Genomic DNA, 25,889 nt, shown 5'->3' on the forward strand with positions numbered 1-25,889 from the left:
CAGGGTGACGTGAGCCAGGCGGTGCTGGGGACAGGGCAGGGGCCCTGCACAGCGATTTCCTGTCTGTCCATGCAGTAAATCCCCACACGGAGGAGACTGGTTTTTCCTCATGACTGATGGTCCCAGGCTGGGCTGAATTTGTCTCAATCCCACGGCAGCCAGGCCTGGGGCGGGCACAATCACTCTGTGCCCCACAGCTCAGCTCCCGGGCGAGGCTCAGGGGCCACGTCTTCCATGTTTGGGGGCAGGGAGGGGGCCCTTTTCTAATTCATCCACTCAGAGAGCAGCTTTTCCTGATTTCCACCAAGGCCTCATCTGGCCGGCAGCATCCCAGCCTGCACAGCATCAAAGCCCCAGACAGGAGCCTGGCCCAGCTCTGTCACTCATCTCCAAGCCCCATGGGTGCCACTGATCAGACGCCCACTTCCCTCCATTCCCGGGGCCAGCGCACCCCAAGCCACCGCCATCTCCCAGCAGGACCCTGCTGCAGCCCCCTCTGGTCACCCTGCCTCTGCCCTGCCGCCCATTTCTCAGGCCTGCCCCACACACAGCCAGAAGAAACCTCCCAAAATGCAGAGCCCATCATGTCTGCCTTTTAAAACCCTGCCTTTTAAATCAGTGTCTCCTGTGGCCTTCAGGATGAAGATGACGGCCAAACTCCTTGCCACAACCCCCAAAGCCCCACAGTCTCTGACCCCAGCAGACCCCATGTCCTCGCCCCGAGCTCCAAGCACTCTGTCCTGTCATGCAGTGCTGCACATGGCGCTCACGGTGCTCCTCCAACCCCAGGGCCTTTGCACCCACGGTTCCTCCCACCTACCCTGTGCCTCCTGCCTCCTTTCTCTCCCTTCATTCTGTGCTGCAATGGTCCTTCCGAGAGGCCCTCCCTCATCCTCTGGTCTAAATCACATCTTTCCTTGGTTCACCTACATAACACCTCTCACTATACAAAGTGATTATTTTATTATTTAGGAGTGTGTGTGTGTGTGTGAGAGAGAGAGAGAGAGAGAGAGAAAGAAAGAGAGAGAGAGAGAGAGATGGAGTCTTGCTCTGTCGTCCAGGCTGGAGTGCAGTGGCTTGATCTCTTGGCTCACTGCAACCTCTGCCTCCTGGGTTCAAGAGATTCTCCTGCCTCAGCCTCCCGAGTAGCTGGGATGATAGGTGTGCGCCACCACACCCGGTTCATTTTTGAATTTTTAGTAGAGACAGGGTTTCACCATGTTGGCCAGGCTGGTCTCGAACCCTTGACCTGAAGTGATCTGCCTGCCTTGGCCTCCCAAAGTGCTGGGATTACAGGCGTGAGCCACCACACCCAGCTTATTTAGGATTATTAATAATCTAATCTCCACAAGGGTGAAGATAGTGTCTGTCTTTCTTGTTCGCCATGGCCACTCCAGGGCACAGCTCTGTTCCTGTACACAGCAGTCCCTCCATAACTATTTCTTGGATCAATGAGGCACATAGCAGGTCTGCAGTGGCCTCGGGATTTGAACCCAGGCCTAACTGCACAGCCTCAGGGGCTTTCTTCCATCCTCACATCCTCCCAGGCAGGGGCTTGACACCCTTGCTGCAGCAGCTCTTCACAGGGGATGATCCTCCCGCAGCGTGCCTCGTCTTCAGGCCTGGCTGCCGCAGATGAATCTCCATGAATCAAGCTGACATTTCCATTACCCGAGGGAGACGAGTGTGTGGCCAGGACGGCTGGCTTTGGCGGGGGTGGCGGGGATGCGTGCCCATCACAGCCACCAGCCAAGGAGGGAAGGCAGCCCAGTTACTCACGGAGGCCCGGGCCTGCCCTTCAGCCCTTGGCCAGAGAAGGGATTGTGGCTTCATGGGTCCTCTGCACCTGGGTAGAGGGGGTGACATGGGCCAACAAGCAACAAGAGAAGCACAGAGCATGTGCAGACACAGGTGTGTGCCCAGGGCCACGTGTGTATCATGAGCATGTTTGTTCAGCATTAGCACATGTGTGGCATTTTGTCCAGAGCCAGCAGAAGCACGCATGAGCGTGTGTGCACAAGGTCAACAGAACACACAGTGTGGATGAGCAGTGAACATGCAGTTAGCTCCTAGGTACATACAAGGTGCTGACTCACACTTGAGCAATATCAACATGTTGTGGGGGGCCAGGGGAGTAGGGTCAGCACTTTGAGCCAAAGTCAGCCTCTGATGATCATGGGTATGTGTGACTGGGCCACGGTAAGGTTGGCATGTACACACGAGCCCAAGGCGTGTGGATACAGAGACACGGGACGCAGGTGCCCAGGGCAGAACGAGGTCGTGTAAGCGCTTTGGGCTGTGGGTCACGTCGATATATATGGGTGTCAAGACCAAAGACACACACACAGCCATTCTCTCCATGGTTGGAGCCTGTCTGCTCAGGGCAGCGCAGGGGAGGTGTAGCTGGGAAAGCTGTCTGTGGAGGTGGGTGGAGGGGCCTTTTCTTTCCCATCCAGGCCTCTGGGTGCTCAAACAGGCACCCCCTGCCTTCAAACCAGATGGTGACTCCCACCTTCCAGATTCAGGCAGACACTGGCATTCGCTCCCTGCATAAAGACAACTCTCATACGAACTCGTAGTAAACCCACTGGAATTACTCACCCAGCCTGCCTCTTATCTAACCAGCAGCTTTCTTGCTGCAGGCTCCATGAAACTGACAGACAGCTGGTTCTCAGCCCCCGCCCAGGAGGTGCCCAGAAGGAGACCAGAGGACTTGAAGCTCAGTGGCCCTGGGAGCCTCTGACCTCTCTCCCTTGCCCCGTGACAATGGCTGTCGCTCAAGCTGTCCGCATATCATAACCACATACCACTTGCACGATTATTTATTTAATATTTTTCTTTAAGCCAACTCTTTTTTTCTTTTACTTAAATGCCTATTTTGGTTTCATCCTAAGCAGTAACGTCTGTGAAGTCATAGCACTGATGTGCCCACTGTACATTTTTTTCTAATACACATTTACATAAACACAACTATTAAAATAGATTAAAATTTTCCCCATGTGTCAACTACAATCATCTCCTGGACCTCCTGCGGTCCACTCGCCAACTTCAGAAGGACCCTGGGTGAGAACAAGAGCTCCTAGATGCCTGGTGGCCAGGGCTAGATCCCTGTCAGATCTGTCCCTGCCCAGGCCCATATATGGCAGCCGCCCTCTCTTGCATGAGGCCAAAGCCCAAATTCCTTGTTCTGACATTCAAGGCCTCAGTAGAGCTGGACCATAATTGCTCTCCCAGGCCCATTTCCAGCCCCGCCTTAAGCCCCACCTAGTAGGTCATTAATATTTACTGAATGAATGGAAAGTGAATTAACAAATTGTTCGCTTGATGAATCAATGCGTGAATGAATGAGCACAAACCTCCAGCTGGCTGTCCCCTGAGCCCCTGAGACTCAAGACATCTGAACCACGAAGTCTCCGTCTTCCCTATCCCCCAAGCTGACCCTGTAACCTGAGAGTCGTCACCAACTTTCCTCTTCTCCCACTCAGTCTATTCCCTCCTAATTGGTTCCTGAATCTGCCCGCATGGTCCCCTCCCCAGGGCAACTTTCCTAAGCCAGCCCACTTTCTTCTCTTTCTTGAGTGTAAGAGGGATGAGGAAGGGAGAAGCATCTCCCACAACTATTCTGTGCCCATAGTTGCGGTGATCTTCCTCAAATGTACACCCAGGCGCATCCCAGTCTGCTAAAAGCATCTCACTGCCCACTCCCCATTGCCCCAGGGTAAACTCTAAGCTCCCTAAGAAGGTTTCCAGTTCCTCCTGGCCTGGCTCCACTGCCCTCTGATGCCTAATTTCCCACAACTGCCTCCTGACCTCCCTGCTCTCCACACCTGCCATTGGGACTATTTTAAAGTCCTCTAATGTACTTTCTTTCCCTGCTATACTCTTGCCTGGCTGATGCCCAGACAATCTTCATGTCTTGGCTTAGACATCATTTTCTCAAAGGAGCCTCCCTAGACTACAGCTCCCACAGCCCCGATTTCCCCTTGTTGTCCTGTTAGTAAACACCCACAAAGTGTTTACTTGTGCCAGGCTCTGTTCTAGACACTTCAAATATGTTAGCTCATTTAATTTGCACAACAGCTTGAAGAGGTAGGTATAATGATTATCCGGATTTAATGGATGAGGAAACAGGCACAGAAAGGTCAAGTAACTCGCCCAAGGTCACAAGTGGAGAAGGTGGAATCTGAACCCAGGCTCACGACAATAGATGCCCTCTCTGGATGCTCCAGCATCCCACCTCAAGTGCCTACCACAGTGCTTGGCACATAGTAGGGGCACAGTGAACTATATCAGTGAATAGATGGATGCACAGCTGGATGGTTGAGTAATGAGGATGTGTGACACATGGAAGGAGGATGGATGGAAGTCTGATACAAGGAAGGATGACAAGCAATCAATAGAAGATGGATAGATGGATGGATGAATGGATGGATAATTGATGGATGATGGATAGATGAAGGAATGGATGGATGATAGATAGGTGTAAGGATAATGGATGGATAGATGATGAATAGATGAAGAAATGGATAAAGAATAAATGGATAATGCAGAAATGGATAATGGATGGATGGATGGTTGATGGATAATGGGCAGATGGAGGGATGAATGGATGTGTGGATGACGGATAATGGATGGATGGATGGTTGATGGATAATGGGCAGATGGAGGGATGAATGGATGAGTGGATGATGGATAATGGATAGATGGAGGGATGATGGCTGATGAATGATGGATAAAGGATGGATGGATGATGGATAGATGGATGAATGGATAGATAGTGGATGGAAAGATGATGGATGATGGATGGAAGGATAAATAATGGATAAATGAAGAAATGCATAATGGTTGAATGGATAAGGGATGAATGGATGATGGATAGATGGAGGAATGGATAATGGATAAATAGCTAACGAATGGGTGGATGGATGATGAATGGATGGATGAAAGCATAGACAATGAATGGATAGATGATGGATGGATGGATGGATGGATGGATGATGGATGGATGGATGATGGATAGATAGCTGATGAATAGGTGGGTGGATGATGAATGGATGGATGAATGGATAGATAATGGATGGACAGATGATGGATGGATGGATGGGTGGATGGATGGATGAAGGATGGATGGATGGATGATGAAGGATGGATGGTTGATGGACTATAGATGGATAATAGATGATGAGTGGGTGGATAATGGATTAATGATGATGGAGGGATGAATGAAAAATGGATGAATGGACAATGGACAATAGCTGGATGAGTGATAGATGCTGGATGGATGGATGGATGGATAGATGATGGATAGCTGATGAATGAGTGGATGGATGGCAAATGGATGGATGAATGGATAGATGATGGATGGATGGAAGGATGGATGAATGAATGAATGATGGATGGATGAGTGGAAAGATGAATTATGAATGATGGATGGATGATGAATGATGGATGGATAATAGATGATGAATGGGTGGATAATAGATGGACGAATGATGAATGGATGGATGGATAATGGATAATGGCTGGATGAGTGATGGATGATGGATGGAAGGATGGAAGGATAAAGGAGAAGAATATATTCTACGTGGGGAAAAGCTCTAGAAATTCTTCTGGGAAGGAATAAGGCCTCTTGGGAAATGACTGAACTTGGAGTCAGGAGTCCTGATTCAAACCCCATCTCTGCCATTTGCTAGCTCTGTAATCACAGGCAAGTTACTTCATTCATCTCTGTGACCCTAATTTTCCTCCTCTTTATAATAAGAATCTGTTTCTCCAGGCATCTAAGCCCTGGGATTTTCTGTAAAGGTGGTGCTAGGCACAGGGTAAAGCCTCCTCAGGGTCAGGGTGGTGTGATGTTGCTGAGCTCTGAAGAGAAATGTGGCTTCTTCACCCTCCCTGCTTAGGGCTTGGGTTTGGGGGCCCACTTCTTGCTCGCCCCACATCTCTTGCTTGCCTGGCCCCTGCCTTGCCCACTCTCTGGAATACAAGGCAGCCCTGCCAGCCTGTGTCCAGCCTGGGCTCTGTGCTCCCTCCCTGCCACCCTGCAGTGTCTGGCCCTGGCCTCTGCACAGTCTCTGCTGTCACCTTCAGCCTCCTTGAGGAGTAATGGGGTGGGGCAATGACAGGGCAGCCACAGCCCACAGAGCAACTGGCCTCCATACACCGCAAGAAAACAAGTTCAACAAGCATTTATTGAGCCCCTGCTGTGTGCCTGCTGTGTGACACCCCTGCAGTGCCTGCGCCACTGCCCCCTCCTTCAGGAAGCCACTCTCTGCCCCCCAAAGGGCTCTGCCCCTCTGGGCACCTGACTGGCTTGTGGGTGCCAGCCATTCAGTGGCCAGTGGCCATGTGTCTCCTGGCATCGCAGCTGTGCCCAGCAGGGCTCATGTGATGATGGCAAGAGTCCGGGGCTGCTGTCCCAAAGTCACTCTGTGCAGCCCTGTGCATTCCCTTGGGCCTGCCCTGGCCCCATTTCCAAGGCCATGGGACCCAGGCAGCGATGGGCAGGACAGGCCTGGCATCTCCCACGCAGGCTGACTGAGTTCACGGCACACAGGCCAGGGTTCTGGGGGCACCACTCTGGTGGTCTTGCAGCAGGGGCTGGTGCCAGCGATGGCCTGAGGTCCGCGGGCCAGGTTGAGGTCTTGGTCACACCCAGTGCCCCAAGACCCAGCACTGTCGGTTCAGCTCTGGTGCTTCCTGTGCGGAGCTCCGGGGCCAGGAATCCGCCATGTGTGGCTGGTGTCCTGCCAGGAGACAAGGCGGTCAGTGCTGAAAGCCACCTTCCTCCACCCACATCCTGTCTACCCACCGCCCCCCACCCACACATCCATCACTCACCCTCATTTACTAGGCCTTCTGCCCATCATGCCTTTTGTCTACCGATCCATGCCCAACACCACCAGCTCTCCACCCATCCCTCCCCTGTCAGCCACCCAGTCACCCACCAGTTCACCAACACACCTGTGACCTAGTCATGTATCTGCCAATATTTGCTGCCATCCACTTATCAAGCCACCAATGTATCCACGACTCTGCTCACACCCTCTCCAACCCACAGCCCAGAACCCGCTCATGCACCTCACACCTGCCAACAGGTGCACCACTCCCCCAGCCATCCTCCTACCACCCAGTAACCCAACCATCCTCCTACCACCCAATAACACACCTTTACATGTACACATCCACCTACACCCAAAACATCCCCTTATCCACCCCATGCCCACCTGACAGCCACGACAGCACCCCCTGCAGTCACGTTCACTCACCTCACATAAAGCCATGCCCCCACTCCTGCCATCTGCCCACCCATTTTCCCTCCATCCTTCCCTTCCACCACCCACCCCTCAGCAAATCCACCTACTTGTGCAGCCATCATCCACCACCATCCTGTCATCCTGCAGCTGTCTCCCCACCTTGCCATCTGCCCCCAAGCAGGCCTCCTTGAGCACCCCATTTGCCTTATATGTGTTCAGGAGCTGTTGTGTACGGATATTAGAAGGGGAACAAGAGCAGATGTCTCCTAGGTCCCCAAGTCCTTGCTGGACCCCAGAAACTGTGTGTGTGGACATGGGTGTGCCCTAAGCTGACTCTGAGAAACTCTCTGGGCACCGAGGCAGGGGGCACCTGCCACTGTCTACCACACTTAGTGGACTGGACAAGGGGAAGGGCTGGAAAGGCTCTTCCCCTCTGCCACTCTCACTCCTTCGTGTTTTTGGCAATTTTTGGAAGATCACTCCCTTGTCACCCCTCAAGTGTCTCTTCAAAGTCTTTCTAGCGCACCAGAATCATTCCCATCTCATGCTGTGGCCTAAAATGTCCTTGTACCTCCCGCCGAATCAAATCAAGACCCAGCTGGAGTTTCAGCTCTCCAGGAAGCCCCCTCTGACATCCTCCCCCTGGCACTCAGGGATCTCCCTCATCCCAGAGCACCCACCCTCAGCGCACACTCTGCCAGCATCACCCCCGTTAGACCCCAAGCCCAGGGGAGCAATGACTGAGCCCAGAATGTATGCACCCCTGTGGACCAGTGGAGGTGGAGCTGGAAGGTGCAAAACTAAGGGAGAGGGTTGGTGTGGTGGAGTGGGGCTGGGAGTGAAGGGGGGAAGGAAGAAAACAAACAGTTCCTGAGCATGTGCAGCTCCAGAGGTAGTTCTGCCCATTTTACAGATGAGGGAGCCGAGGCTCTGTAAGGATTAGTAGATGCTTTAGAAGTCACAGCTATGATAGAGCTGGATTGAATTACTTTCCTCCTGATTCCAAATTTCAGCATTTAAAAAAATGTGATCCGTATAATTTCATTTTCCTACTCTGATTCTCAGACATACTTGTCATACTTTAGGGTCAGACAGGCTCTTGGCAGAAAGCCCATTGAGGTGGGAATTCCTAGTGAAGCCAAGCTCCTACTTGCATGCCTCTAAGGATGGAGATCTCCTTGTTCCTTCTCCATCCTCAAAGCAGCTCTCATTATCAGGAGAGTCTTTCTAATAACAAGGCTGCAAGACAAGAGTCAAAGAGGAAGATGGTTGTGTCCATAGCTGGGGTGGGGGGTAATATTTTTGGCTTTCACTTTTTTCTTTCTGCTTTTAATATTCCTTAATGTTAGTGTTTTGCAAGTTTTACTATATTTATTAAGGGGTGGGAAACATTTTGCAAACATTTTGGAATCATTTGGCTTCAGAAAAACACATTTGTTTTGGCCTCAGTCATGGAAACCATTGCATACTTTGGAAGTGTTGGCTGCCAAGATAGAGGTGTTTGGGTTTTGTTTTGTTTTTTTAATCTAGAAGCAAATATTTGGTGCATGGAAAGGTATGATTGTTTTTCTAAATAAGCATTTAGGCATAATTTTAGCTGCTTGTACAGTGGCTGAAAAGCAGAGCCATGGAGAGATCATCAGAACAGAAAGAAAGTGATAGTGTATTTTTTAAGGAAAAGGAAAGGCCACAATCCCTGTCCTTCCCTGAGTTAAAATCAGGCTGTCTGTCCCCTGGATGCAGAGGGCAAGATGCTGAGGACTGGGGCCCTCCTCCCTTTCTCTGGCTACCCAGGAGGCACTTGGGGCTCAGAGCCATTTAAGGTGTGTGTATACAGAGGAGAACACTCCAGCAGCCCACCAGGGACCCCCACCCACTTCTCTTCTCTCCCAGGCCTTGTGCTGTAGATTGGGAATCTCAACTCAAAATGTCTTGTGGGCCCAAGCAGGCAATGTAAATGGATGAGGTGAGTCAGAGACAGTGCCAATTGTTACCAAGGAGAATGTGGGCTCAGATCTTCCTAAACTGTTTTTTTGTTTGTTTGTTTGTTTGTTTGAGATGGGGTCTCACTCTGTCACCCAAGATGGAGCGCAGTGGCGCCATCATGGCTCACTGCAGCCTCGAGCTCCTAGGTTTAAACAATCCTCTTGCCTCAGTCTTCTGAGTAGCTGTGACTGCAGGTGCACATCACCATCCCTGGCTAATTATTTATTTATTTTTTGTAGAGATGGGGTCTCGCTCTGTTCCACAGCCTGGTCTTGAACTCCTGACCTCAGGTTATCTTCCCGCCTCAGCCTCCCAAAGCCCTGGAATTACAGGTGTGAGTCACCATGCCCAGCTGGATCTTCAAAACTTTCTTTTTTTTTTTTTTGAAACGGAGTCTCGCTCTGTTGCCCAGGCTGGAGTGCAGTGGCGCGATCTCGGCTCACTGCCAGCTCCGCTTCCCGGGTTCACGCCATTCTCCTGCCTCAGCCTCCTAAGTAGCTAGGACTACAGGCACCTGCTACCACGCCCAGCTAATTTTTTTGTACTTTTAGTAGAGACAGGGTTTCACCGTGTTAGCCAGGATGGTCTCAATCTCCTGACCTCGTGATCCACCCGCCTCGGCCTCCCAAAGTGCTGGGATTACAGGCTTGAGCCACCGCGCCCGGCCCAAAACTTTCAAAGAAACTGAAAATCTGGATCTCGAAACAAAACCTCCTGGCTTTTAAATGATGACAATTAAGGTTTCAAATGTATTTTCAACAATCTGTGGGCCAAAGAGCATTTCTCAGGCTGCACTCAGCCCACGAGAGGCAGATCCCAGCCTGTGTCTTCGTTCCATGATTCTGTTCCATGGCTTTGCATAGGCTGATCCCCTAGGTGGGAGCGCCCTTCCCTGCTCTTCTCCAGCTGTTGACTCCCTGATTTTTTCAAATGCTGCCTGCTCTGGGAAGCATTCCATAGCCCTGTAGAATGCTTCCTAGAGCTGGCAGCATTTGGAAAATGGAGGCTTTGCTCCTTTCCCTGTGCCCTTCAGCAGCCTGCATAACTCTCTCCCCGAACTCATCACTTTGTGTTGTAATAGCCAGGTCAGCATGGGTCTCCCCAATGAAACTGGGGATGGGAGACAGCTTTATGAGCAGGGCCAGGGTCTGCTTCATCTTGGAGCCCTGATTCCCCAGCCCCTGGCCCAGCACAGAGCAAGTCCCAAACTGACTCTTTTTTTTTTCTTTTTAAACAAATGAAGAAACCATGGAGGAAGGGGAGAGAGTGATTCCTGCGCTTGGGATGCACCTGCTCTACCTGCTCTGAGCTTCTGTACAGTATGAAAAGGGTTTTTGCTCAAACTCTCCTCTTTTGGGTGAAGGCTCAGGTGATGGCAGGGGGCTGGGGAGACCGTACTTCGGTCTAACAGCCAAAGGTTCAAACCCAGCCTCCACTGCTTGCAAATTGTGTGAATTTTTTTTAAGCCGTGTGGCTTCTGACAAGCAACTTCACCTCTCTGAGCCTGCAAATGGATGAAAGCTACAAAGGAGTTGGCAGGCCCAGCAGGCACCCTGCAGAGAAACCCTTCACTGTCCAATCTCAGACACAGACAGAAGTGGAAAGAACACAGTTCTGGAAGCACTAGAAGCAGGTTGGGTTTGAAAGCCTCTCTTCACAAATGGGGAAACCAAGGCCCATGGGTGGGAAAAGATTTGTCAAGGCCCCACTCAGAGCGTGGTAGCAGGTACTGTGGTTTCCATTTTCTGGGAACCTCCCAAGGTTAGCAGAGTATTTGACCACAGGAGGTTCCCCAAAGGTGTGATTTCTCTTCCCTTTTAAATCCAGATATCAAAACATGAACATATTTAACATCAGATCTCCTCCAGCCCCATCTCCCGCCTCCCTCAGTGAAGAATCACTGTCTTGAACCCTCTCTAAGCCACCAAGATCCGGGAATCAGACATAATTGCTGAATTGAATTAAATCACATCTACTGTTCCAAAATGGATTCATTGGGTTGGGAGGGCCCTTCAAGACCAGGAACGTCAATGCCACCACAAATGTACAGATCGGGAAACTGAGGCACTTAGAGGGAAACTGACTTGCTCAAGGTCTCTCTGCAGCTGGCAGAGTGAGGGTAACAGGTGGCAGGTATTGATGCTCCTGACCCTACAGTAGCCCAGCTTGGCACAGATCAGCTGGATCCCTTTACAGGGAAGTTCCTTCCGGCCAATCACCCAGCCGCTGTCCGAGGTGCTGAAAGCCTCTCTCTATAGGACTCACAGGTCCGCCCAAAGCCAACTGTCTGTCTGCCCAACCTTGACCTCTGCCCTCCAGAAAGAAAGGAAGCTTGAAGAGTGGTGGAAAATGAATCAGGGATGGCGCTAAGAAATCGGGCTTTGGAAACCTGTCAGCTAGTGACACTCTCATCGCTCTTCTAGGTCCACAAATCTCTACCATGAGAGGGCTTCAGAGGTGTCATCACATATGGGAATATCTGTTTACTGGTTTTCTCCTCATCTTGCCTTTGAGGCATGTGTCACAGGAGGACAAAGGCCAGCTCTGCTTTCCCTCACAGTTGCATCCCTGCATCAGCATGGTCCCAGGCACAGCGTTGAAAGCACGTGTCTGCAGAATGAGTGAACGGTGGAGGGCTCAGGAGGAAGGGCAGGCTTGAGTGGGACGGACCCGTATGGAGGGAAGTTTGTGTCTTCTGGTCTACCTCAGGCGGGCTGTTTTAGGAGATTGAATGGGGGCCATCTATCTCTCCACTGGGGTCATCCTCAGGGATTCCACGTTTCTGAGCCATAACATTCTCTTTGTCTCTTTCTTGCCCTTGGGATGAGACAAAGTCCACTGCACCTGCCACCTCTCCCCAGGGCCCCTGATTCCTCAGTCCTTTATTTAGACATGTGTTGGGCATGTATTGTGTGTCAGCCTCCACACTGGCTGCTGGGTTTACAGACGTGAGTGAGATGCGGCCCTCCCCCCGGGTGCTCACAGGCACACATATGAAGAGATGACAAGACCAGACATGCCTCCCACTCCTGCTGTGTGCCAGGAACCATTCAATGTGCTTCCTGTCCATGGACTCATTTAATCCTCAAAAATACGAGTTAGGTGCCATTATTATCCCCATTTTACAGGTGAGGAAACCGAGGTCCAGATAAATTAAGTCATTGTTTCAAGGCCTCACTGCTGAGACTTGAATCTAGCCAGCTTCACTCCAAAGGTTGGGCTCTCATCAACAGATACTTAGATTTAAAACTATGCAGCCATTAAAAAACAATGAAATCTGCTGGGTGCAGTGGCAGTGCCTGTGATCTCAGCACTTTGGGAGGCTGAGGCAGGTGGATTACTTGAGGTCAGGAGTTCAAGACCAGTCTGGCCAACATGGTGAAAACCTGTCTCTACTAAAAATACATAAATTATCTTGGTGTGGTAGCAGGTGCCTGTAATTCCAGCTACTTGGGAGGCTGAGGCAGGAGAATTGTTTGAACTCGAGAGGCAGAGATTGCAGTGAGCCGAGATTGCACCACTGCACTCCAGCCTGAGCAGCAAGAGCAAAACTCCATCTCAAAAAAAAAAAAAAAAGGGCCGGGCGCGGTGGCTCACGCCTGTAATCCCAGCACTTTGGGAGGCCGAGGCGGGTGGATCACGAGGTCAGGAGATCGAGACCATCCTGGCTAACACGCTGAAACCCCATCTCTCCTAAAAATATAAAAAATTAGCCAGGCATGGTGGTGGGCACCTGTAGTCCCAGCTACTCGGGAGGCTGAGGCAGGAGAATGGTGTTAACCCAGGAGGCGGAGCTGGCAGTGAGCCGAGATTGCACCACTGCACCACGGCCTGGGTGACAGAGAGAGACTCCATCTCAAAAAAAAAAAAAAAAAAAAAAGAGAGAGAGAGAGAATGAAATCCTGTCTTTCGTAGCAACATGGGTAGAGCTGGAGGCCAGCTCTTAAGTGAAATAACTCAGAAACAAAAAATCAAGTATCACATGTTCTCATTTGTAAGTAGGAGCTAAACAACAAGCACATACGGCCATAGAAAGGGAAATACCAGAAACTGGGTGCTCCACAGGGGGAGGATGGGAGTGGGGTAAGGGTTGAAAAATTACCTACAGGGTACGTTGTTCACTATTCAGGTGACAGATACATCAGAAGCCCAACCTGAGCATTATGCAATACATCCATGTAACAAACCTGCACCTGTACCCCCTGAACCTATAACAATTAAAACATTTAAAAACACAAAGATTGGGCTCATAGACATTATAAAAATTTGGCTCACAGACAAACACCAGGAGAGTGAAAGGCAGAGACGAACGTGTTCCCCTCTGCCAGGAGCTGGGGAGGGGGCTGGGGGCAGTTCCCAGACAGTTGAGCTAGATTTTGAAAGCCCTTGCAAAAGCTCCCAATTCCACTGGTAGGGTTGGTTTTCTGCCCAGTGGAGGAAGGGGGCACAGCATTTCATGCAGAAAGAACAGGGTGTGAAATAGGTCCTTGGCAGGCGGATGAGGTTCTTCAGGAAGTGTGAAAAACCTAGCAATATTGTGGTTTCAGGGAGGCAAGTGGACGGGTATGGCCTGAAAGCAGAGCACATGGGGATGAAGGGGTAAGGCATGGAGCATCGCAGCTGCAGAAGTTGCTTGGTGGCAGGTGTAGAATGCCCAGCAGGGCCCCCTAAACCCCATGCACCCCAAGGGTTTCTGCCTTATCATGACACTTCTCAGCTACAGATTCCTTGCCTGTCCCACACTGAGGAATTGGGCTCTGGAGGGCAGTCTATTTTGACACCTGCCCCAAGTGTTTCTTAGGGTTAGGCATGGTTGTGGTACCACTGCCTTGGACAGAAGTGGGCATAAAGTAGAAGAACCATGTCATAGCTTTAGCTTGGAGTCAGACAGGCTTGTGACCCCAAGGTCACAAGCTTGTCCCCAAAGGACAAGTGACATTACCTCTCAGAACCCAAGTATTTTCCCTTGTAAAATAGAAATACTACTCACAGCACACAGCTCCTGAGGACTAAGTGAGCTAAATCATGCACCAGAAACATACTGGTGACCTACTGTGTGCTAGGCCCTGGGGATGTCACAGTGAATGCAGCAACAAGGTCCCTGTGCTGGTGACATTTCCATTTCACTGAGGAGAGGCTGGACATAAACAAGGGAGCAGGCCGGGTGTGGTGTCTCATGCCTGTAATCCCAGCACTTTGAAAGGCTGAAGCGGGAGGATTGCTGGAGGCCAGGAGTTCGAGACCGGCCTGGGCAAGACCCCATATCTACCAAAAAAAAAAAAAAAATTAACTGGGCTTGGCGGCTCACGCCTGTAATCTCATCACTTTGGGAGTCCAAGGCAGGATTATTACTTGAGGCCAGGAGTTCGAGACCAGCCTGAGCAACATAGCAAGACTCCATCTCTACAAAAAAAATTGGAAACATAAAAAAAATTACCCACGTCTATGTCATGTGCCTGCAATCTCAGCTACTCAGGAGGCTGAGGTGGGAGGATCCCTTGAGCCCAGGATATCAAGGCTGCAGTGAACTATAATCACATCACTGCACTCCAGCCTGGGTGACAGAGCACAACCTTATCTCAAAAAACAAAACAAAACAAAACAAAAACAGAAAAACAAGTGAGCAAAGAAGGGCTCAGAGAGGAACAAGTGATGGAAAGAAAAATGATGATGCAGGAGGGGAAGGCGAGAGAAGGCCTCATGGGAACTTGTGAAGGGGGCGGGCACCGAGCCAGATTCCTACTAGAGCTGCTGTTATAGGAGGTTTTAGAGCTAGGAAGGACTGGGGAAGACATGATCAAGTTTATGTCTTCGGAGGATGGATTGGAAAGGAATTGGCCCTAGAAGCAGCAATTTCCATCTAGAAGTTGCTGAATAGCCCAAGCAAGCGACAAAATGCAGACTGGCTTCTGGCAGTAGCTTCAAAGGGACAGGTATTGGCCGAGGGTTGAGGACAACTGCAAATTTGGTCTGTAGATCAGCAGCATCAGCATCGTGGAGAACTTAGAGCTGCGGAACCCTGGGTCCCCCGCCAGACCTCCTGAATCAGAAATTCTGAGGGTGGGGCCCTGCAGTCCATCCTTTAACGAGCTCTCCATGTGTCTCTGATGCTCCTGTTGGCTTGGATCTCTCGACCCCCAGTGCTGAGGTCTCAGATGTCTGCAAGCTGTGTGCCATCTGCGCTCCCAGCAAATTGGCATTGATATTTATTTTAGAAATACTGTCTGTTTCCATTTTAATAAAGGAAGCAACTCGAGCAGGACTCTATTGGATTTGATTTTGATCTAATAAAAATGCCAAGTTGCTCTGGGTCCAGAAAAATTCTTTCTTGAAATTCCCTCTGCTATTTTGAGGGCAGCAGCAGTGGCAGAGACCCATCTAGATGGAGCTCCCAGAAGCCACCTCCGCGCCCAGCATGCGACAGCCTCTCGTGGAGCCCAGCCTTACAGATACACCTGGCAAAATCAAAACCTTGTCTCAGGCATTGAACTTGACAGCTGCAATCAACTGCAAACCTCAGTCGCCCCTGAAAGGAAGATGCAGACACCTGGGCCATATGGCAACATCGCCTCCATCAAATGTCACGTCTGATGTGCTCCTGAGCTGGCTGGTGGCGCCACAAAGCCCCAAAGGCAGGTTTCAAAAGCAACTTCCTCAGGAAAAAAAAAATTATAGCCAAATCCATATCACAGTAGCCCCCCAGAATAACATCTTTGGGGACAGTTAGGATAACCAGAAGTTTATGTAATTGCTAATATAAAAGTGGCTTCTCAGATGGGAGGTGGTGGGAGAAACGTGGAGGTTGACAGCCAACAATTAAGCACCTATTATGTGCCACACACTAGTTTAGACTCTTGGGATATACACAGGAACAAAACACTCAAGGCGCCTGTTCTCATGGCACTTGGTGGAGAGAGGCAGCAAAACGAAAACCAAGCATGTGAACATAAAAGATCATTTCGGAGAGGGACAAATGCTAGGAAGAAAAGAGAACCCGGTGATATGGGGATGACTGGGGAAGCTGGTGCAGATCAGGGAAGGCTTCTCGGAGGAAGCGGCCTTTCAGCTGACTTAAAGATGAGACGAAGTCAGCCACACCATGATTTAGAGGGAGAGCATCCAGGCAGAGAGAACAGCAAGTGCAAGGGTCCTACCAAGGGAATGAGTTTTGCGTGTTCAAGAAAGAGGAAGGTCAGGTTGGCTGGGGCAGCATGGGAGATGGGGAAGAGGCCTACGGGGTTGGGAGCCTGAGAAGGAGTGGCCTCTCTCCCAGGGTAAGGAGCAAGATCTAATTGCCAAGCTGAGTTTTATTGCCGAGTGAACCAGAGATCCCAGCAAAGCTGATTTGCCTTACAGCACTGTATTTCTAGAAGAAGAATCCCCGCTTCTCAGGGCTGGATCAGCCATCAAATGAGATGGCAGAGAAGTGCTTAGCACAGACCTGCACACAGTAAGTGTTTAATAATGCCGGCTCCCTGACATCCCGCCTCCCCCGTTCCTCCTGCCGGCAAGTCAGCCCATCGCAGGATCTGAGCAGCTGCTCCCCGCAGAAATATTGCAAAACTCGTCCAGGCATTTCCAAAATATTTTCTTGGCTGAAAACCCACTAGCAGCTAAGAGGCCGAATTCTGAGACGGCATCATTTCCATACTCATTTGATCGGCTGCTTCTCTAGACCATGAGCTCCAAGAGGACCGAGGCCATGTCTGGAGGCACCCCACATCCTCAGTACCCTGCCCAACCAATGGAGCTGCTGACTGACATCACCTAGCGGTCCAGGGTGTGGGTGATGAGGTCAGACCGGCCGGGTTCAAATCCCAGCTTTGCTACTTTCTAGCTGTGTATTGAGTAAGCCATGGTCTTAACCTCCTGGGCCTCCGTTTCCTCGTCTGTAAAATGGGTCCGTATTTAGGGTTAAATGAGTGAATAAGTGCAAAGTCCTGAGAACATGCACAAAGGTGAGATACTGTGATTAGATCTAGGGGACTGAGTTCTTCTTGCTGGCTGTTTCCGTAATCAAATGCAGGTATCATCATGATAGCCCTGGAGGTCCTGCCAAGGGGTATCACCCTGGCTAAGTCCCCCCTTCCTGCTTTCCCTTTCCTGCACCCCATGTCATCCTGAGTGGGATGAGGCACCATGCCCTGCTATCCCGCACCCTGCATTGACCCCTTTCAAGCTCTGGCCACACAGTGCACGAATGGCTTGGGTCTGTCTCCCCAACAAGACTTGGAAGTCAACAGGGTCCAGCAACGTGCCTTATTCGTCTCCATGCTCCCAGGAGCCAGAGAGGTCTCCTTAGTAATGATTTGTGGAATAAATAAAGCAGCCTGCTTCAGGATCCCTGAAGTCACGGGATCTCTCACGCATGCCAGCATCCAGCCCACATTCCCCTGACCCCTCCCTCAGCTCTGACCACAGAGGGGGTCTCTTCCTTATTAGCTGTTTGACGTGGGAGTTCCCAGCAACTCCGCTATCCCCAGGGAATGACGGCCATCCCTGCTAATGCTCAGCTACCTGATAAAAGGTACACCTGGCGCAGGGGTTGTGGGGTCTCAGGCTCTTTTCTTCCCTGAGAAGCCAGGATTTGGAAAGTCTCTGGGGGCGACTGACAGTTTTCCACAGCTCTTTCCCCACCGGCCTCTGGCTCCCCTGAACCCCCAGGAGGTTAGGCCCCTTTTGTGTCACTGTGTCTCCCTACCCTACACATTCTCCTCAGATGATCTTTGCAGTCTCTGGGCTTCAACCATCCCATACTGTACTGCAGCCTCAAACTCCTGGGCTCAATCAATCCTCCCCTCCCACTTCAGCCTCCAGAGTAGCTGAGAATACAGGCTTGCACCACCATGCCCAGCTAATTTTAACTTTTTTTTTCAAGATGGGGTCTTGCTATGTTGCCCAGGCTGGTCTCGAACTCCTGGCATCAAATGATCCTCCTGCCTTGGCCTTTCAAAGAGCTGGGATTAAGGCATGCACCACTGCACCTGCCTGTCTCTCTGCCACCCTTTTAAGCTCCCCTCCGTTGATCTGGCTGCCTCCTGGAGGCCCTCACGAGCCCCTCAAACTCCACACAGACAAAGCAACATTGCCCTTCACAAACTGACCCCTCCCCATATCCTTCCATCAGTCAGGGACCCCATGCCCCTGACTGCTTGGGCAAAAATTCTGTGCATATCCTAGGTCCCTCCTCTCCCCCGGTCCTCACTCAAATCAGTCACTTATCTGATGCTGTCCCCCCAGCTCCACGGTGGTGCACACTGCTAACCCCCAACTGTGCAAGGGGGCTTTCTCCATCGCGCCCCAAGCCCCTCTGTCCATGCCCCGAGCCATTACCTCCAGAGAACTCATGCACCCGACCCTCTCTGCGGCAGCCCTTGAACAATGGCCCAGGAGAGTTGCCTTCCTATCTGGGGGGATGGCTCAGATACATATGCTCTGCACTGGTGCCCCCAGCCCCCAGCAGGCTCGACGCTGTGCCTTTGACTGGTCGCCTTTGTCTCCCTTCTTAGTCTCTCTTCCTCACTCCTAGTTGGGTGTTCAATCATCAAAATAAAGCACTTGCTGTTATATCCTCATCTCAAGGGACTTCCAGGGAAACACAAACCAAGACACTCTAGGAATTCTACCAGCAGAGGGTCCTTGAGCTACCCACTTTTATCTCCAACCCCACAGTTCAGGCCGCCACCATCATGTCTCCCAAGAACGACTGCAACAGCAAAACATTTTGTGCATATTGTAGATTACAAGATGGTCTCCTGGTCTCGAGTTTGGCTCTTCTCTGATCCTTTTCCCACAGTGCAGACATATATATATATATATATATATATATATAGATAGATAGATATAGATATAGATATAGATATAGATATAGATATATAGATAGATAGATGGTAGATAGGATAGATAGGATCTGTAGATAGATGATAGATAAATAGGTAGATAGATGACACGATTGATAGATGATGGATGGATAGATTAGATAGATGGTAAGATTTATAGATGATAGATGATTGATGGATAGATGATTGACAGATGAATAATAGATGGATGATGGATGAATAGATAGATTAGATGGATAGATAGATAGATAGATAGATAGATAGATAGATAGATAGATAAAGAAATAGGGAGGGACAGAGAGAGAGAGAGAGAAATAATGTGGACATGTCTTCTCCCTGCTTAAAATGCCCCGGGCTCCCTGCTGCAGAATCAACTTCCCCTCCACTGCATAGCGAACTCCGTCCCTGTCCTGCCTCCTGCCACCGTCGGCCCCTCCAGCTCTCCTGCCCTCCCATTGCCCTCCCTGCCTCAGCCACCCTGGTCTCCTGGCTATTCCACAAGCACTGTCTGGCTCCTTCCAGCTGTCGGACACACAGGTCCCTCTGCCTGCAAAGCTCTTCATTTGACTCCTCACCCTTTAGGTCCCAGCTCCGTGGTTTCTCAGAGCGCTGACTCTGAAGGAGTGCCCCTGCCCTGTTTCCTCCCCATCACCACATCTTCCTCCCTTGTTTGTTTTTGAGCTCACTTACTGAATGATTCTCTCTCCCCTCAGACTGTGAGTCCCTGAGGCAGGGGCCGTTGTCTTGCCTGACTCCCTGCTGTCTCTCCAGCACCCACAGGGCTGACGTGCAGCAGATGCTCAATAAACACTCACCAAGGAATGAAAGATGAAATCGTTCAGACTGTTGCCTTATCAAATGGGTCTGATGATTCTTTCACAAGGAGATGCTGCTTGAGGGGGCACTAGGCATCAGGGCAGGGGGCGGATGTGGGGGCTGAGATTGGGGGTAGGGAGAGGGCTGCAGAGACTGGGATTGGGGGTGGAGAGGAGGGCTGTGGAGGCTGAGATTGGGGGCGGGGGGAGGGCTGCATGTACTGGGATTGGGGACGGGAGAGGGCTGCAGGGACTGGGATTGGGGGCGGAGGAGGGCTTTGGGGACTGGAATTGGAGGCTGGGGGAGTGCTACGGGGGGCTGGGATTGGGGGCACGGGAGCGCTGTGGAGGTTGGGATTGGGTGCCAGGGGAGGGCTGTGAGGACTGGGATTGGGGGTGGGGGAGGGCTGTGGCAGCTGGGGTTGGGGGCGTGGGAGAGGGCAGTGGGGTTGAGATTGGGAGCAGGGGGAGGGCTGTGGGGCTGAGATTGGGGGTGGGGGGGCAGTGGGGCTGAGACTGGGGGTGGGTGGAAGGCTGTGGGCACTGGGATTGGGGGTGGGAGGAGGGCTGTGGGCACTGGGATTGGGGGTGGGGGGAGGGCTGTGGGCACTGGGATTGGGGTGGGGGGAGGGCTGTGGGCACTGGGATTGGGGGTGGGGGGAGGGCTGTGGGCACTGGGATTGGGGTGGGGGGAGGGCTGTGGGCACTGGGATTGGGGTGGGGGGAGGGCTGTGGGCACTGGGATTGGGGTGGGGGGAGGGCTGTGGGCACTGGGATTGGGGTGGGGGGAGGGCTGTGGGCACTGGGATTGGGGGTGGGGGGAGGGCTGTGGGCACTGGGATTGGGGGTGGGGGGAGGGCTGTGGGCACTGGGATTGGGGTGGGGGGAGGGCTGTGGGCACTGGGATTGGGGTGGGGGGAGGGCTGTGGGCACTGGGATTGGGGTGGGGGGAGGGCTGTGGGCACTGGGATTGGGGGTGGGGGGAGGGCTGTGGGCACTGGGATTGGGGTGGGGGGAGGGCTGTGGGCACTGGGATTGGGGTGGGGGGAGGGCTGTGGGCACTGGGATTGGGGGTGGGGGGAGGGCTGTGGGCACTGGGATTGGGGTGGGGGGAGGGCTGTGGGCACTGGGATTGGGGTGGGGGGAGGGCTGTGGGCACTGGGATTGGGGGTGGGTTGGAGGGGTTTTGCCATTTCCTCTGACCCTGAGAACTCTCGTTCTTAATTCCAGGGCTTGCTTTTCGGGCCACAGTGCCTTGACTCTTCCAGTGGTAGGGACCTCCACCCAGGCCCCCAGATGCCCCTAAGACAAGCCCCAAGGCCTCTTTCTACCCAGGATTTCCCGCCTATTCTGCAGGGAGCCTGGGGAGGCTCACTCCCAAATAAGGGAGCTGAGGACATTCTGGAATGCACCAGGATTCTCAACCTCTATCCCTGCTGTGTGCTTCCCGAGCCCGTCTCTGATGATTTCTTCACTCTGTTGTCCCTGCAGGAGGAGTTCTCCAAACACATCCATCCCCTGGTTTCTGATCCCCTCTTCCAGGAAGCCCTCCAAGCTAGCACAGACATGAAACCATGATGTGTGAGCCCATGGTTCACTTCAGCACCATCTCCTGTCCCTCACAGGCCAAAATTGGGCTCTCTTCCCTCTCCTCTTCTCCAACAAGGCCTCCTCCCAAGCATCTTGGTTCACCACTGTCTCCTCCCCACTAGCAGAGCCATTTCTCATTCAGTTACTAGGATCACAGGATTTGGAATCAGACAGACCTGTGTTTAAATCTCTGCCTTCTTAGTTTGGATTCCCCAGCAGCAGACCCACAGGTAAGAATTTGAGTGCCCATGATATATTTACAAGGTACAGGGAAATTGGGCAGAGAGGAAAAGTGGGACAGGGATGGGAGGGGAGAGCCACTAAACCTGATGATCATTGACTCTTTATGCCTCAGGGGGATCCCACTCCAGGGTGAGGGAGCTGGGGTATCTATACACCAACTTCCCTGGCACTTCTAGCCTTCTATGGCTGGAGGTGGGGAAGCCTCCAGGCACAGAGATGCAGATACAGATAGATGCCACTGGAGCTTCCTAAAGGTCTGAGAGAGGTGGCCAGGGCACTGACTGTGTCTGCTGTGACTCCTCTGCCAGTGATTAGCTAAGCTATGTGACCTTGGGCAAGTTACTCCACCTCTCTGAGCCTTAATTTCCTCATATGCAAAGTCTAGGCAACAATCCCAGCTGTAGGGACTGGGGTAAGCAAGGATATGAGATCAGGCATGAAAAGCCCTTAGTACAGAGTGGGATGGGGTGGGGAACACGTGGTGGGCATTACAGCAGGCTCAGCCAAGATCTGACCATTTTAACTTTAATCTTACTTTGGTTCTTCTCTGCTTTGCTTTCTGATCCTGACATTTGTTTTCTGAGCAGTGCCCTAGATTCTGCCTCATGGTGTGCCCCACAGCAAAGTGTTTGAAGTGAATGCATCTAAGCTGCCAAGAGTATCCTCAGCTCAAACAACTCCTGTCCACGGTCACCTCCCTGCCTCGGCTCCTTCTAGCCAGGACTGTCCTCCCTCAGACCAGTGGCTAACCCAGGCCTGGCCTTGAGCTGGGTTTTCCCTGCCTGCTCCCTGGAACTCCAGTCTCTTCCTTCCTTTCTTAGCATCCCATCCCGACTGGGAAGCCTGTGGGGAGAGCTGCGTGCAGGGGCTTGCTACCCTGAGACACCAGACTCAGTTTCCTCATCTGTAACGTGTTTGTGGGAGAATGCAGGGTGCAGTGGGGGGTGGGGGCTGGCCTGACTCTTCTCCAGGGATTCTTTCTCCTCTGGCAGCCCATGAATCTGTCGTAGCAGATACCCACAAACAGGCCACTTACGGGCAGGGTATCTCTCGTGGCGGCAGTCTAAGTGAAAGTCCTCCTCGCTCCCGTCCCTCTTCTCCATCCTGGAAAGAAAAAAAAACAAAAACAAAATCCTAGGTAGGAAAGAGAAGGATGAGTGGGCAGAGACCCAAAACCTGAAAAAGTGCAATCTTCCCCCCTCTGGAGAATATTTTGCAAAGTAACTTTCCACCTGCTGCCCTGGGGGATTTTGACCACAACCTTGTGAGATGGGCATCATTATTCCCATTCTACTAATGAAGAAACTGAGGCTTTTGGAGGTGATGTGACCAACCCAGTGTCATGCAACTAATCAGTTAGAGGCAGAATAGGAAGGCAAACCCATCATTCTGTCAAAAAGAGGAAAATAAATTATTTGCGAATGGTATATATCAAAAGATGTTTACAGTTTCATTTGTTTTCAGAATTATACATTGAAAGGCACAGAAATTATTTTGGCAGAATACACACCAAAAAGTTAACGGTGATTATCCCTACATAATGAATATAGGGAATTAACTCCGGAGGCTTCTTTTTGCTAACTTTATTTTCTGATGGGGGGCAACAGGCTCTTCTTCGCTAAGCAGCATTTCCCTCCCCTCCGCCCACCCCAGAGACAAGGTCTCACTCTGTCGCCCAGGCTGGAGTGTAGTAGCACAATCGGAGCTTGCTGCAGCCTCCAACATCCTAGGCTTAAGCAATCCTCCTGCCTTAGCTTTCCAAGTAGGTAGGACTACAAGTGTGTGTTACCACATCCAGCTAATTTTTAAATTTTTCTATAGAGATAGGGTCTTGTCGTGTTGGCCAGGCTGATCTCAAACTCCTGGCTTCAAGGGATCCTCCTGCGTCTGCCTCCCAAAACTCTGGGATTATAGGCATGAGCCACTGTGCTCAGCTCTGGGAAGCATTTCTTAACTACATTAAAACACATCTTTTTTTTTTTTTTTGACATGGAGTCTCGCTCTGTTGCCCAGGCTGGAGTGCAGTGGCACGGTCTCGGCTCACTGCACCCTCCACCTCCCAGGCTCAAGCGATTCTCCTGCCTCAGCCTCCCGAGTAGCTGGGATTACAGGTACCTGCCACTGCGCCCAGCTAATTTTTGTACTTTTATTAGAGACAGGGTTTCACCATGTTGGCCAGTCTGGTCTCAAACTCCTGACCTCAGGTGATCCATCCACCTCGGCCTCCCAATAAAACACTTCCTAAAGATAATTCTGCGTACTATCAAAGCCCCAGTCTCCCAAATTCTGGTACAGTGTTCTTCCCCACCAACAATTGCAAGAGCTTCTCAGTGTGGTTTCTCTCTCCTCCATCATCTCAGGGTTGTGGTGGTCCCAGAGCGAGCAGCCTCTGCGGGGTGGCAGCAGAGGAGAAGCATGGAGCAGAGGCTGTTGAGGACCTGGACAGTGGAGGCAGGTGCATGGCCTCTGACACAGCTCCAAACTTAGACCTTCACCTGCGTCCCACTGATGGCTGGGCCCGAGAACCGGTGGGGTCATGTTCCCTCATTGCACACATGCATTTGTAACCCAGGTAAATTCCAGAGTTCCACACGGTCCTGTCCAAATGGGCATCACATTAGAGAAACACAATCTAGTCCTCTCAAGTAAGAACAACTCCAGGCTAGGCATGGTGGCTCATATCTGTTTTCCTAGCATTTTGGGAGGCCGAGGCAGGAGGATCACTTGAGGTCAGGAGTTCAAGACCAGCCCAGGCAACATAGCAAGACCCTAATCTCTAGAAAACATCAAAAAAGAAGCCAGTGCATGCCGGAGTGGTGGTGTGTGCTTCTAGTCCCAGCCACTCAGGAGGCTGAGGCAGGAGGATTGCTTGAGCCCAGGAGATCAAGGCTGCAGTGAGCCATGATTATACCACTGCACTCCAGCCTGGGCAACATAGCAAGAACGCCGTCTCTAGAAAAAATTAAAAAATAAGCCAGCACATGTGGTGTGGTGATGTGTGCCTCTGGTCTCAGCTACAGTCTCGGCTGAGGTGGGAGGATCGCTTGAGCCCAGGAGATCGAGGTTGCAGTGAGCTGTGATTATACCACTGCACTCCAGCCCAAGCAACAAGTGAGACCCCGTCTGAGAAAAAAAAAAAAACCAATCATTATTGTCTCTCCTAAAGCACACAGTGGGTGCTCCAATCCACACAGCTTGACATCTTTCCTCCATCCCTCTCTTTTCTCTCACTTGTCTTGCAGCTGTCCTAAAATCTCTCTCACCCTGTCTTTGTCTCATTTTCAACACTTCCCCTAAACTCTCTTCAGTGTCCTTGGTGGGGCATGTCCCCTTTTCCCCACCCTCCCTGTCTTTCCACTGCTATCTCCTCTTCTCTCATGCAAGGAAGGCTCAATCCTTTCCAAAACAAATGCCCTATCTCTGTTCCCTGACTCTTCCCATCACCTCTTATTCCTAGTTGCACATCCAGGAAGCCTGAGCTGGAGGAGAAGATGGGGGAAGGTGAGAGTGACAAGCTAGCAATGCCAAAGTGTCCTTAGTAGAAGGGAGAGAGATACTCATATATTGATAATCACCAATCATTCATTCATTCATTCGCTCATTCACCAGGAACTTCCTGAGGACCTTCTCTGTTGGCACCAGATGCTGTGTGGACAGAAATGTCTCTTTCGTAACCTCTGCCCTCAGAGTCCTTCTGGCCTAGTAGGGAAGACAAGCTTGCACCCTAGTTAGAAAATGGCAGGTGAGGCTGGGTGTGGTGGCTCATGCCTATAATCCCAGTGCTTTGGGAGGCTGCAGTGGGCAGATTGCTTGAGCCCAGGAGTTCGAGACCAGCCTGGGCAACATGGTGAAATCCCGTCTCTACAAATACTAGCTGGGTGTGGTGATGTGTTCCTGTGGTCCCAGCTACCTAGGAAGCTGAGTTGGGAGGATCACTTGAGCCCAGGAGACAGAGGCTACGGTGAGCCATGATCTCATCACTGTGCTTCAGCCTGGGTAACAGAGTGATACCCTGTCTCAAAAAGTAAAAAAGATCAGGCATTGAATAACACTACACAAGGACTGTCTGCACCAAGGGGCTAGGCCTGTACTTCCCAGGGAACATACTCTGAACTTTTTCTGCTTATAAGGATCTCCTGTGGCCTGAGTGGCCCTAGGCA

General features: G+C 51.4%; 1 protein-coding gene across 6 annotated transcripts in view, besides 1 other annotated feature; it reads right to left on the minus strand.

Moving 5' to 3' along the window:
* Positions 1–2,806: 2,806 nt before the first annotated feature.
* GSG1L (GSG1 like) overlaps positions 2,807–25,889 on the minus strand; it is a 276,187-nt gene continuing 253,104 nt past the window's right edge. For 4 of the 6 annotated variants that reach the window (NM_001323901.2, NM_001109763.2, NM_001323900.2 and 1 more), the window contains 2 exons: positions 22,766–22,833; positions 2,807–6,746 (listed from right to left, as the gene is read on the minus strand). In NM_001323901.2, coding sequence (NP_001310830.1) covers positions 6,649–6,746; positions 22,766–22,833 — 166 coding nt within the window. In that variant the 3' untranslated portion in view covers positions 2,807–6,648. Of the gene's footprint in view, positions 6,747–21,308; positions 21,452–22,765; positions 22,834–25,889 lie in introns of those variants that run through there. The other 2 variants (XM_011545751.3, XM_011545750.3) reach the window with 1 other exon arrangement.
* Positions 11,374–11,574: a silencer, noted in NCBI's record as "peak2549 fragment used in MPRA reporter construct". NCBI's record gives its function as "represses an SCP1 promoter by STARR-seq MPRAs in K562 erythroleukemia cells {active_cell/tissue: K562}" and the evidence as "EXISTENCE:reporter gene assay evidence [ECO:0000049][PMID:32103011]".

This window comes from Homo sapiens, chromosome 16, assembly GCF_000001405.40.
Source record: "Homo sapiens chromosome 16, GRCh38.p14 Primary Assembly".
NCBI lineage: Eukaryota > Metazoa > Chordata > Mammalia > Primates > Hominidae > Homo > Homo sapiens.